Here is a 14,707-nt window from a genome sequence, read left to right as displayed (position 1 = left end):
TCAAAAAAAATAAAAATAAAAACAAAAAAGCCAATCATTTCTCTGAAAGTTTTGAAATCTACATTTTTAAAATTAAGGGTAATGATTTTTACATGATACCTAGGAAATTCTAATGCCTTTAGATTTCTCATCTCCATGTGGAGATATCAACTATTTTGCAGAATTAAATGAGATAAGGATGTAAAAACACATTGTAAACTACGGATCATTTTACAAAGGCTAGGTATTAATAAACCTCTTTAAAAATTTAACTTCAATACCTTAATCAAAATTGTAACTATGCCAGTTCAGTTTTATTTAGAGATATTTGGTTAAAAGGCTAGTAATGGAAAATCAAGAGAAATGGCCTCTATTGATTCACCACTGACTTTTGTTCTTGAAAGCAGCATAACTGTTAAGTCAGTGCTTTTTCAAACGACTCAATGAGGCCCTTCTCCTGCAAAACATTGATGTGGTTAGTATGCCTCTTCAGAGCGGCAGGAGAGCATCTGTTCTTTTCCATAAAGCCTTTACTTGGAAGACCTTTGCAGTTCCAAATACAAAGGTGAGTCCAGTCTGTCTTATTATGACTGAAGGCAGAAAGAAGCAAAGATCCCTCTTCCCCAGATGGTTTAGTGTAACAGCATTGCTGGTGAAAATTCTTTCCCCTCCATCATAAATCTAGACTATTGTTAGCTATGTGTACCAGTTGCTAAAGGAGACCAATCATGCATGCTTTGGGATAAAAGCATCTTGGCCATATCATCTTCCCACTAATCCAGATTATAAAACACAGAAGAACAGGAAATAACTCACTACCAATTTAAACGCATAATTTCAGAGAATCCTAAAACTAAGAGAAACTTTAAAAGTTCAACTAAGGCAATTCCCTCCCTTTATCACAGATACATATGTTGTGAGGCTTAAATGAGATGAATCACTTGTTCTTTATATAACACTTTTTAAAAATACTTAAACATCTTTAAAGACATTGTTTTATAATAATTACATTATCTTTGTGGTGTAGGGGAGATGTACAGTCATCGACCAAAATTTAGAGGTGGGCAGACTTTTTGTATAAAAGACTGAATAGTAAATATTTTAGGCTTTGCAAGCCATATAGGGTCTCTTTTGTACTTTCTTCTTTTTCTTCTTCTTCTTCTTTCAGCTACCTTTAAAATTACAAAAACTTGGCTGGGTGTCATGGCTCATGCCTGTAATTTCAGCACTTTGGGAGGCTGAAGCTGGAGGATCACTTGAGGCCAGGAGTTTGAAACCAGCCTGGGAAACATAATGAGACCTAATCTCTACAAAATTGTTTTTAAAAATTTGCTAGGTATGGTGCATGAGCCTATAGTTCCAGCTACTCAGCTGAGGCGGGAAGTTGAACCCAGGAGTTTGAGGTTATAATGAGCTTTGATTATGCCACTGCACTCCAGCCTGGGCCTCGGTGACAGAGCAGGACCCTGTGTCTTAAAATATGTGTGTGTGTGTGCACGTGCATGTGTGTGTGTATGTGTGTATACACTCTTCTTTTCTCACTAACCATAAAAAAACAGGAAGGTCAGATTTGCCCTGTGCAGCTGTGCAGGTTGTGATTTGCCAGCTCCTGAACTAGATAGTAAAATTGAAGCAGTAAGAGATAATGTGTCAAATCACCTTATAAACCAATGATAAAATCAGGAGCAAAATTTAAATCTTCATACCTCATTCAATATACCATTCTATATCTATGAAAAATCTCTACTTTACCTGAAATTCATCAAAACATAGGAGACATGCTTCTTCGCTGATTTCTTCGGCTATGGGAGCTATTGGGTCATATGATTTAGCCATGAATCCTGGTTTCCTTTTTGGCAAACTCTGTTTAAGGCGATGTATTCCTTAAATGCATGAAATTAAACACAGATGAAATATATTAGTACTTTTTAGACAATTATAACATATTTTTAAAATCTCTAAATGAAACTTTAGTATGGACATAAAATTAAGTTTAAACTCCATGTAAAATCAAATTTGATCATTGAAATTGTTTGCATTTTCTCTACAAAATAAGTTGGTTCAAATATTATTATGTTCTTATAGTTGTAAGGAAACTTCAAGGTCATTTCATTTCTACTCTTTAATCATTTCAGAAATGACAAGGTAATAGACAAGTGATTAGATGCATCAACACATCCACCTTAGTCCTTTATTTCAGGGATGAGAGCAGAGGATGTGATCCTGCCCAAGTAGTGCATGTTATGTCTAGCATATGCAATCGAAATGCACCCTTATCTCTAGCCTAATACACTAAGGCCAGTCCACTTCATTCATTATGTGTGTACTAAATGCTACAAGTATTAGAGGAAAAAAACACATGATTCCTGCTCTGGGGAGGTTACAGTGCAGCTGGTAAACAAATCATGCAAAAGTGAAATAACGTAAGATCACTAGCAAAGCAATAAAGCTTACATGCGTACTCAAACTGAATGCCTACATGCTAAGGTAACACAGAGTAAAGGGCCTAATCAAGAATCACTTATTTAAACAGGTGCATTTTTAACATTTTTTTATTGGCCCTTAGTAGAAACAGAAAATGCCTGAGCTTCATACAGCAATCTCTGTTCTCTGATTTGAAAGTATTAAATTGGTCTTAAGGACCAACTCTGGACACATTACTGACTGTTTCAACATAGCACAAAACAAATGGAACCAAATAAAATCTTACTGCAAGCAAAAATCTAATTTTTAAAGAGTATATGTTCATTCAATGAAGAAAACCATTTTGTAGCGTTTCCCCACTGAAAAAATCACTTCTTTCAGATCATTGCTTACTTTTGTGCACATCTAGCATGAAACCATGAAAATGAACCCGTTTTTTCCTCTTCATTTCCACATAAGCATAAAACATGTCCATCACCATTGTTTTTCCTGTACCTTAAAAATAAAAAAAATTTTAAGAATACTATTAAATAGTATGTACTGATTGCTGTAATGATTGTTCATTAGCTTTGAGATAATGAAACCATACTCTTCCGCTAGGAAGCTGAAGACTATGTCACTTCTTTAGAAGGGGGAGCTTACTTTGTATGTTAAACTAGCTAAAAATAAAATGTTAATATTACTCTTTTCTGTTAAAATCCTGTTTATAGGAAATACAACATTTAGTTAACATTACACGGGCTATTTCCCCCTGAAAACTATGTGCATAAACTGGCAAGATTTACAGTCTTCTCTTCCAAAAGACACTAGCATAAATAAAATAACTTAATTAAATATTTACTGGGTCATTACTATGCATAAGGAACTGTTTTAGGCACTATGGGAAAATTCAAAAATGAAAAATAAGAGGCTGGGCACAGTGGCTCATGCCTAAAATCCCAGCACTTTGGGAGGCCAAGATGGGAGAATTGCCTGAGCCCAAGAGTTCAAGACCAGCCTGGGAAACATAGCGAGACCCCCATCTCAAAACAAAAAAAAAAAAAAGAGAAGAAAGATGAAATATAAAGATTAGTATCTAACATAAATATTGAACATGAATCATATATGTAGATTAGAGCTAGAGAATTGTCAATTGTAACACTTCTATTTTTAAAAAGCTGAGAAAATAGATCTCTCAAAATAAAGCCTACTTGAGGAAATTCTGATACAGTCAATCCTTGTAATTAAATTATCTAATTTTCAACACTCTAAAACTTTTAATGACTACAATCGCATTAGTAGTAGAACCCTCTTATCTGAGAATTCAGTTACTCAAGGCCCACAATCAACCATAGTCTAAAAATATTAAATGGAAAACTCCAAAAATAAACAATTCATAAATATTAAATTGTGTGGCTATCCTGAGTAGCATGAAGAGGCCTCATGTCACCCCGTTCCATCCCACCCAGGACATAAATCATCCCTTTGTCTAGCATATCCACACTGTATTCACTGCCCTCTCGTTGGTCACTTAGTGGCCTTCTCTGTTAAAAACATAGTATATAGGCCAGACGTGGTGGCTCACACCTGTAATCCCAGCACTTTGGGAGGCCAAGGTGGGTGGATCACCTAAGGTCAGGAGTTTGAGACAGGCCTGGTCAACATGGCAAAACCCTGTCTCTACTAAAAGTACAAAAATTAGCTGGGCATGGTGGTGGGTGCCTGTAATCCCAACTACTCAGGAGGCTGAGGCAGAAGAATAGCTTGAACCTGGGAGGCGGAGGTTGCAGTGAGATCGTGCCACTGCACTCCAGCCTGGGCGACAAGAGAGAGACTCCATCTTAAAAAACAAAAAAACAAAAAAAAAACATAGGGTTCAGTACTATGTGAGGTTTCAGGCATCCACTGGAACTATCCTCTGTGAATAAGGGGAAACTACTGTAATTGAATATCCAACAGCCTGAGCATTTAATGCAGGTAGCATAAAATGCCTTATTCCCTCTCAGAAAGCCTAGGGCATTCGGGTCAGTGGCCCAAGCTCAGTTTGTACCTGGCATTCCTCAGTAAGCCAGGCTAGCATGTGCTAGTCCAGTCTCACATCCTCCCTGCTTCCCCATCTCCCACCACCACAAGATCACTTCCTGTCTAGTAATTCCTTTGCAATTACTAGAATCCAAAGGCACTTCAGAAAGTAGGAAGATCTAAGTCTTATCTTTTGGGTTTCCTTCAAGCCACAAGATGACACTGGGCCCATGCCATTTGAATGTCAGAGTGCTTTTGTATATGAAAAAACAATCCACCAAACATTTTTTTAATAAAGAAGTCACTTTGATGGAAAGTCATTCATTGCAAAAATATTCAGTACAGTATCTCTTGATATAGTGATTAGCAGTAGATTTTAAATAATTATATTTACCCAGAAAAGTTAATAAAGTTTCAAATTCTGCTGCATGCAGTGTAGTATACTTATAGATTCAGAATAAAGTCATGAATTATCTAACCAAAAATGCATTCACTAATCATTAGGGTAAAGCAAATCAAAACTACAAGATACCACTTCACATACATTAGAACGACTATTAAAAAAAAAAAAGAAAATAACAAGTGTTAGCAAGGATGTATAAAAATTGGAATCTGTGCATTGCTGGTGAGAATAACAATGGTACTGTCACTGTGGAAAACAGTATGGCAGTTCTTCAAAAAAATTAAACACAGGCCAAGTGCAGTGGTTCATGCCTATAATTTCAGCACTTTGGGAGGCCGAGGAGGGAGAATTGCTTGAGCCTAGGAGTTCAAGACCAGCCTGGGCAACATAGTGAGATCTCATCTCTACTAAAAATTTAAAATATTAGCCAGGTTTGGTGGTGCATGCCTGTAGTCCCAGCTACTCAGGATGCTGAAATGGGAGGATTGCTTGAGCCCAGGAGTTCAAGGTTGCAGTGAGCTATGATCGTGCTACTGCACTCCAGCCTAAGCAACAGAGAGAGACTTTGTGTCCAAAAAAAAAAAAAAAAAATTAAACATTGTGTGACCATAGGATCCAGCAATTCCACTTCTGAGTATATGCACAAAACAACCGAAAGCAGGGATTCAAACAAATATTTACACTTCAATATTCACAGCAGAATTATTCACAATAGTCAAAAGATGGAACAACCCAAACATCCATTAATGGATGAATGGATAAACAAAAAGTGGTATATACATAAAATGTTACAGTTGGCCCTCTGTATCTAGTTTCTACATCCCCAGATTCAACCAACAGTGGATCAAAAATATTTTTTAAAATAAAAAATAATATAAGGAACAGGTGGAGTGGCTCACACCTATAATCCCAGCAATTTGGGAGTCCAAGGCAGGCAGATTACTTGAGTCCAGGTGTTCGAGACCAGCCCGGGTGATATGGCAAAATCCCATCTCCACAAAAAAATATAAAAATTAGTTGGGCATTGTGGTGCATGCCTGTAGTCCCAGCTACTCGAAAAGCTGAGGCAGGAGGATCGCTTAAGCCCAGAAGGTGGAGGTTGCAGTGTGCTGAGATCACGCCACTACACTTCAGGACCTGGGCGACAGAGCGAGACCCTGCTTCAAAATAATAATAATCATCATCATAAACAAAAAACAATATAGTATAACAACTATTATAGCATTTATGTACCATTTACATTGTTATAAGTAATCTAGAGGATTTAAAGTGTACAGGACAACACACAAAGTTTATATGCAAATGCTACACCATTTTACATAAGGGACTTGAGCATCCTCAAATTTTAGTATCCAAGGGCATCCTGAAACCAATCCCCCATGAATACCAAGTATATTATTCAGCCTTAAAAAGGAATCCAACTCATATGCAATACACAATAATATGGATGAATCTTGAAGATATTTTGCTAAGTAAAATAATCCAGACCCAAAAGGACAAATATTATATGATTCCATTTATATAAGGTACTGAAGAATAATCAAATTCATAAAGACAGAAAGTAGAATGGTGGTTGCCAGGCCAGGGGAGTCTGGGGTGGGATGTGGAAAATGTGGGAGAGAGGTAGAATAGGATGTTGTTGTTTAATGGACACAGAGTTTCAGTTTGGGAAGATAAAAATGTTCTGAAGATAGATGGTGGTAATAGTTGTACAACAATGTGAACAGACAATACTACTGAATTATACACTGAAAATGTTTAAAAGGGTAAATTTTATGTAATGTGTTTTACCATAATAAAAACAATTAAATACATTTTTAAAAAGCTTTAGTTAATATGCTTATTGGTAAAAGACTGAACACTTCTCCCCTACAATTTGACAAAGGCAAGGATGTCTACACTCATGTTCTGAAAATGGATGGTGGTAATAGTTGTACAACAATGTGAATAGACTTAATGATACTGAATCATACACTGGAAATGTTTAAAAGGGAAAATTTTATGTTACGTGTTTTACCATAATAAAAACAATTGAATACATTTTTTAAAACATATAGTTAATATGCTTATTTGTAAAAGACTGCACACTTCTCCCCTACAATTTGACACAGGCAAGGATGTCTACACGCACCACTTCTATTCAACATTGTACTCGGGTCCTAGCTGGTGCAAGGAGGCAGCAAAAAGAAATAAAAGGCATAAAAATTTAAAGAAGTAAAATTATCTTTATTGGCAGATGACCTAATTGTATACACACAAAAAAATCCTAAAGAATCTACCAAATCACCACTAGAGTTAATAATTAAATTTAGCAAGATCACAGGATACAAGGTCATCAAAAAATCCACCGCATTTCTATAAACAGTAACGCATATAATGACATTTTGGTCAACAATGGACCACATACACAATGGTGGTCCCAAAAGATTATAAAGAAGCTGAAAAACTTCTATCACTTAGTGATGTCATAGCTATCCTAACATGGAAGTACAATTAATTTTTTTTATAAATTTAGTGTAGCCCAAGTACACAGCACTGATAACATCTTGTATAAAGTAGTATACAGAAATGTCCTCAGCCTTCACATCCACTCACCACTCACTCACTGATTCATTCAGAGCAACTTCCAGTCCATTCATGGTCAAACAGGCATCCCATATTTTATCTATTATACTGTATTATTACTGCACCTTCTCTGTTTAGATATGTTTAGATAAACAAATACCACAGCGTTACAACTGCCTACAGTATTCAATACAGTAACATGCTGCACAGGTTTGTAGCACAGGAGGAATAGGTTCTATAATACAGCCTAGGTGTGTAGTAGGCACATGTATCCCTACATCCAAGCCAGGGAGAACTATGCTTCCTAACTCCTAACCTTAAAACCAGCCTACCTTTCACCTGGTGAAACTAGAATCTGAATCAATGTGAAACAGGTGAGGTGAAACCAGGAGGCAGCAGGAAAGGGGCTGATAAGCAAAATGTACTTTTATTCTCTTCTAGTGTACCAGAGAAATCATTAACTCTGCCATCACCACCGCAGTCAGCTGGTCAAGAGCTGAGGCTCTGTTGTGAGAAAGCCAGCTGTAGGGTATGAATGAAGTCACAAAATACTACTACCACAGCTTTTGGCTTCTATATGAGATGTGATAAACATTTTATAACAAAAATAATTCATTTCAAGATTGAACCATGATAATAATCCCTCCAACTCATACATCAACCCTACTGCAGTTCCCAGGATTTAGAATCCATCTGAGTCAATCATCTCAACACATCTGCGAAGAAAGAGGTGAAGTGAGCAGGACAAAGCCCAAATAGAGTGCAAGAATGAAAAGTGGGAAGGGAGTGCTACCAGGTAGGTATTCTCTATCCCATGAAGTCTCCTTAAAAATTATTTATTTATTTAAATTTTTCTTAAAAAAAAAAAATACATAAGAGATGAGGTCTCCCTATGTTGCCCAGGCTGGTCTCGAACTCCTGAGCTCAAGCATGTTTATTTATTTATTTTTATTTTATTTACTTATGTATTTATTTATTTATTTTGAGACAGAGTCTTGTTCTGTTGCCCAGGCTGGAGTGCAGTGGTGCGATCTCGGCTCACTGCAACCTCTGCCTCAGCCTCCTGAGTAGCTGTGACTACAGGCACCCACCACCACACCCGGCTAATTTTTGTACTTTTAGTAGAGGCGGGGTTTCACCATTTTGGCCAGGCTGGTCTGAAATCCTGACCTCAATGACCCGCCCCCCTCAGCCCCCCAAAGTTGCTGGCATTATAGGCGTGGGCCACCGCACCTAGCCCAATTTACTTATTTATTTATTTTTAAGATAGGGCCTCACTCTGTAGCCCAGGCTGGAGTGCAGTGGTGCAATCTCAACTCACTGCAACCTTGATCTCCCAGGCTCAAGTGATCCTCCCACCTCATCCTACTGAGTAGCTGGAACCACAGGCACACACCACCATGCTCAGCTAATTTTTTAATTTTTTTGTAGAGATGGGGTCTCACCTAGTTGTCCAGGCTAGTCTCAAACTCCTGGTCTTAAGCAATCATCCTGCCTCAGCCTCCCAAAGTGCTGAGATTACAGGCATGAGCCACCATGCCCAGCCTTGTTAAAATTTAATACCTGTTTCCCAAGTCCAACAAAGGAAAAGAATAAAGAATAAGAGCTTATGGTGGCATTTTGAGGCTACTCTCCCATACAGAGAGCCCCTCAAATGAAAACTTGATCTTTTATTACCTATTTTATTTCATTTTTGAGATGGGGGTCTCACTCTGTTGCCCAGACTGGAGTGCAGTGGCATAATCATGGCTCACTGCAGCCTTGACCTCCTAGGCTCAAGTGATCCTCCCACCTTAGCCTCTCGAGTAATTGGGACTATAGGCACATGCCACCACACCAGGCTAATTTTTGTATTTTTTGTGGAGACAGGGTTTTGCCATGTTGCCCAGGCTGGTCTTGAACTCCTGGGCTTAGGCAATCCACTCGCCTCGGCCTACCAAAGTGCTGGGATTACAGGTATGAGCCACCATGCCTGGCCGATTACATATTTTATAAGTGGTCTGAACTAAACTTATTATAGCCACCAAAATGTTCGTCTCACTTCCCATTTCAGAATTCCTTTCTCTTCCCCTCTCTATATTATAAGGATGTTTCCAAACAAAGGTTGCCACCTACCCAAACTATATGAACATCCCATACTATCACATCTTTTCTATTGCTTTCAAACACTCAGATGAATAACTTGTAATATGCTTCCCTTCAATTAGTTACCATATGGCTGTATTTTCTAAACTAAAATCCAACAACATTCATAGGGTTTTTAAAAAAAAAGTGCTTTTACAGAAGTGGAAGCAGTTATGCTTCTTTAACCATCTCCATTTATGGTCAGGTGGTTAAGGTAACAGGAGGAACAAAGTTGTTGATTTTAGCGATGACTTAATATGAAAGTGAAGGTACTGGAAGTAGATGTTCTCAGGAGGCAAAGAATGAGACCTGACAACAAGATGAGAATCATTAATGGTGCCCAAAGGTGCAGGAACATAAAATTGATCAAGTGTCTGTTATAACTGCTTTCAAAATAAGAAGTAAGTATACATTGGTCTCAAAAGTACCAATTAGCCAATGAACTAAGAAAAAGAATAGTTTGACCTTCTTTTCTGTAATTTCAAGAACCTGAAGAATTTTAAGGGGCAATCTCTAATGTTCACTTTTGTGAACTAAATTATTCTCTCTTATTAGATTAGCTAAATCTGGAAATACAAAACGGACATTCAATGCAAGGTAGCAGTAAACAAATTAGAAAAAGAAGGAACAGTTTAGAAAGGAACAGTTTAATCTTTAAGGCATTAAAACTACTTATTTGGCTGGGCGCCATGGCTCATGCCTGTAATCCCAGCACTTTGGAAGGCCGAGGAGAGCGGATCACGAGGTCAGGAGATCGAGGCCATCCTGGCTAACACGGTGAAACCCCGTCTCTACTAAAAATACAAAAAATTAGCCGGGCATGGTGGCAGACACCTGTCGTCCCAGCTACTTGGGAGGCTGAGGCAGGAGAATGGCGTGAACCCGGGAGGCGGAGCTTGCAGTGAGCCGAGATCGCGCCACCGCACCAGCCTGGGTGACAGAGAGAGACTCCATCTCAAAACAAAAACAAAAACAAAAACAAAAACAAAACAAAACCTACTTATTCAATGCCCTTTTTTTTTCTTTTCCTAAAAATGTTACTAAGATAATATCCCCTGCCATCACTCCCTCATAACGCAAATGTGTTGTGGCTATAGGGGAGCCTAGAGTGTGAATATTAGTCTAGGTCCAAAACTGACCTCGTTACATGTGAATGTGAGTTTTGAGTATGCCAGTAGAAGAAATAATTGATTGACAGTAAACTGAGGGATTAGAAAAAATTAAAATTAAAAAATTAAAAAAGACATCAAAGAAATAATTGAAAGCAAGGAGGCAAAAAAGCCAAGTAGAAACTCCTTCATGATATCAGTGGCTGAGGGTGGCCAAGGAGAGGTTTAAGACTAAGAGAAAAGGATTTGTTTGAAGAAAATAGAAACCACAAAACAGAATATTTCAGTAAGAATGAGGTCAGGGAAGACTTCATAAGCAAGACACTACATGATTAGGAAAACCTAGAAAGAAGTGACCACTCAGAAAGTTTCCAGCAATATGTGAGTCTTTCTGCCCAATGTCTAGAACTGGGAGACCAAGGAAATGTTACCACTTATGCATTAAGAGTATCTACTGTCAACTACATTAAAGATAATAACGACTAAATTATTCATCCAAGGGCTTAGGTTATGACTAGAAATATTAATGGAAATTAAAAGTAAAAAAGAACAGCTTATTTTTTTAAAAAGTATTAAGCTGAGTTAATGAGTCATGGAATCCTGATTTGTCTAATAACCTATCTGTAGTTGATTTCCTTCCCTGATATTAATTACTTTATACATTAAATAATGTTTGCACCCTAACATGGTGACTAATTCTGCCCTAGACTACAGCTGTATCCTGTGAGAAGTAAAGTAAAAGCTGAGATAACTGCCCTCTCTCCCTTTTCTTCTCTCCCTACCTTACCCTGCCTCATCCTATTCCCTTGCTGGTAACAGATTGAGGGATAGAAATAGAAATCATCCCTGAGAGAAAGCTGAGAAACTTTCTGTTTTGCCCACCCAAAACTTATTTTAACACACTTACCAACATCTCCATAAACATACAGGCCCCTTGGAGGTTTGCTCCTTGAAAAAAGCTGCAAATTAAGAACAAATTATAAATCTCTACCATGCAAATAATTAAATATAATCATATACATAGTCTTCCTAACTGTCCTATATACAGAACCAAGAGGGGCTATTATATACAATAAGTAAGAAAAAAACTTGATATAAAAGTGTTTAAAGCTGAAATATTATGCAGCCTTAAAAAGGGAAAAAACTCTAACGTATACATGAATGAACATTGGGGACATTATGCTAGGTGACATAAACCAGTCACAAAAAGACAAATATTCTCCATTCCACTTACATGAGGTACTTAGAACAGCGAACAATTAAAGAGACAGAAAGTAGAAGTCAGGTGCTGTGGCTCACACCTATAATCTGAGCACTTTGGGAGGCTGAGGTGGGAGGATCACTTGAGCCCAAGAGTTCAAGACCAGCCTGGGCAATATAGGGAGACCTCATCTCTGCAAATAGTTAAAAAGAATTAGCCAGGCATGGTGGCATGCGCCTGTGGTCCCAGTTACTCAGGGGGCTGAAGTTGAAGGATTGTTTGAACTCAGGAGGTCAAGGCTACAGTGAGCCATGTTCACACCACTGTACTGCAGCCTAGACAACAGAGCAAGACCCCATCTCAATTTAAAAAAAAAAAAGTAGAAAAAGGGGTTGCCAGGGGCTGGAGGGAGGAAGGAATGGGGAATTATTGTTTAATGGGTTCAGAGTTTCAGTTTTACAAGATGAAAGTAGTTCTGGAGATAAATGGTAGTGATGGCTGCATGACATTAAGAATGTATTTAATACCACTGAACTGTACTCTTAAAAAATGATTAAGATGGTAAATCTTATGTGTGTATTTACCACAAAAGGAAATTGGAAAAAATGCTGTGAAGCCCCTCTTAGGATTCAACACAGGAGGCAATAACCATAGTAGCCCACAGCGAGGGGTTCACAGTCACACAACTTGAATGTACATCCCCTCTACCATTTACCAGCCATGTAGTCTTTCCCTTCTTCTTTCCCAGATGGGCTCCCCAAACAATGACAGCTAGGTTCATTCTCAGCAATTAATAGAGTAGAAGAATTTTTCTGGAGAAACTGAATGATCTCCAGATAAAAAGGCCAGAAGGCACTTACACTGGTTAAGCTTCTCCCAAAGAAAGACCTAGATCCCTACCAGATTACCTTCTGGTAAAGCACACCAGTCACCAAACCTCTCAAGCTGGAGTTTCAATCAGCTTGTTAGTACCAATGGTCAATGGATATTTGGAAAAAACTTCCAACATAAAAGTCAGAGACCAGAACAAATATGCAGAGGGGAATAAACTCAGAGGAAACAGAGGACTATTCAGACATCAAAAAAAAAAAATCTCAAAAATAAAAGTGGGCCAGGCATGGTGGCTCACATCTATAATTCCAGCACTTTGGGAGGCCAAGGTGGTCAGATTGTTTGAGCTCTAGCCTGGGCAACATAGCAAAACCCCATCTCTACAAAAATCAGCCGGCATGGTGATGTACTCCCGCAGTCCCAGCTACTTCGGAGGCTGAGGTGGAAGGATTGCTTGAGCCCGGGAGGTGGAGACTACAGTGAATCGAGATCACATCACTGCACTCCAGCCTGGACAACAGAGCAAGACCCTGTCTCACTCAATCAATCAATCAATAAAAATAAAAGTGAAGTCAATATAATAATATACTGAAGAAAAATAAGAGAAGCTACTAAAACTATATAAAGCATAGTGGGAGAAAGAAATTGTCTCTTCAATAAATGATGTTTGGGAGGCTGAGGCATTAGGATTGCTTGAGCCCCGGAGTTTGAGACTAGCCTGGGCAACAATGCAAGACACCATTTTTACAAAAAAGAAATTGTTTCAATTGAGGAAAAATGATTTCCTACCAATCCATCCAATCTATTCATCAAGTGTGAAAATGGAAAATTGTCCTTTCATAAATTCAGGGTATGAACAAAACTTCCTACTCAGCAAGAAGAAAACATAGGCTCTGGGAAATGTAGAGGGCCCCTGAGAGGGAAAAAAGCTTGTCAGAGGGAGGCCTGCTTCCAGGACCACAGTGGCACTGCAGGTCAGGAAAGCAGTCAGGTCCAGAGCAAAACTGGAAACTGAAGGGCTCTGGAGATGAAGCAAAATAGAACTTATCTTACCTAATGCTATTATCAACCCAAATAACCATCTTGAATTTTGTTACACTTAGACGAGTAACCTTCATACTCTGCAGCAGTTCCTAACACCTGTGCAAAAAACAAGGTATGACAGGGTGGAGTGAGTTCAGAAAGGGAGGGTAAAACAGAAAAAAGTGAAGATTATGCCACTTAGCATCAACCGGAGTGGTCAATAATTTGGCAGAGAACATTCTCAAAACCTAGCTTTCAGGGTCTCATCCATAAGGCTTTTGGCTTTGTCTTATTTTATTTATTTTAGAGACAGGGTCTCACTCTGTCATCCAGGCTGGAGTGCAGTGGCATGATCATAGCATACTACAGCCTTGAACTCCTGGACTCAAGCAATCCTCTTGCCTCAGCCTCCTGAGTAGCTGGGGCAGGTGGACACCACTACATCCAGCTAATTTTTTATGAAAAAAAACTATCCTGTAGGCTGGGCGCGATGGCTCATGCCTGTAATCCTAGCACTTTGGGAGGCCAAGGCAGGCAGATCACTTGAGGTCAGGAGTTCAAGACCAGCCTGGCCAACATGGTCAAACCCTGTCTCTTCTGAAAATACAAAAATTAGCTGGGCGCTGTGGTGCATGCCTATAATCTCAGCTACTTGGGAGGCTGAGGTGGGAGAATCACCTTGAACCAGGAGGCGGAGGTTGCAGTGAGCCGAGATCACACCACTGCACCCAGCCTGGGCAACAGAACGAGACTCCATCTCAAAAAACAAACAAACAAACAAACAAACTATCCTGTAGAGATGGGGTCTCACTATGTTGCCCAGTCTGGTCTTAAACTGCTGCCTAGGCCTCCCAAAGCGCTGGGATTGTAGGCATGAGCCACCATACCTGGCCTGTTTTTGTTTTATAATTTATGGGTTCATTCCAACCTGCCTCAGAAACCTCTCTTGCTTTCCTGTTCCTTTTTGCTTTCTTTCTCTACTAAATGTAGCTTGTGCCTTCTAGACCTCACTCATGGTCTAGGCCAGACAAAAGGATCTTCTTTGCT

At 38.9% G+C, this 14,707-nt stretch overlaps 1 protein-coding gene across 13 annotated transcripts in view, besides 1 other annotated feature; it reads right to left on the bottom strand.

Annotated features, from left to right (window-relative positions):
- Positions 1-14,707, bottom strand: part of AFG1L (AFG1 like ATPase) — a 230,948-nt gene that overhangs the window by 167,450 nt on the left and 48,791 nt on the right. For 8 of the 13 annotated variants that reach the window (XR_007059229.1, NM_145315.5, NM_001323005.2 and 5 more), the window contains 3 exons: positions 11,513-11,564; positions 2,797-2,898; positions 1,732-1,862 (listed from right to left, as the gene is read on the bottom strand). Coding sequence is in view for 11 of the 13 variants with exons in the window: in NM_145315.5 (NP_660358.2) it covers positions 1,732-1,862; positions 2,797-2,898; positions 11,513-11,564 (285 nt within the window). In the remaining 2 variants the exon portion in view is untranslated. Of the gene's footprint in view, positions 1-1,731; positions 1,863-2,796; positions 2,899-11,512; positions 11,565-13,690; positions 13,961-14,707 lie in introns of those variants that run through there. The other 5 variants (NR_136553.2, XM_047418559.1, XM_017010648.2 and 2 more) reach the window with 4 other exon arrangements.
- Positions 9,660-9,829: an enhancer, noted in NCBI's record as "active region_24913". NCBI's record gives its function as "activates an Ori minimal core promoter by ATAC-STARR-seq in GM12878 lymphoblastoid cells {active_cell/tissue: GM12878}" and the evidence as "EXISTENCE:reporter gene assay evidence [ECO:0000049][PMID:35858748]".

The sequence above is a fragment of the Homo sapiens genome, chromosome 6 (assembly GCF_000001405.40).
Source record: "Homo sapiens chromosome 6, GRCh38.p14 Primary Assembly".
NCBI lineage: Eukaryota > Metazoa > Chordata > Mammalia > Primates > Hominidae > Homo > Homo sapiens.
This window is presented reverse-complemented; position numbering and strand designations above follow the sequence as displayed.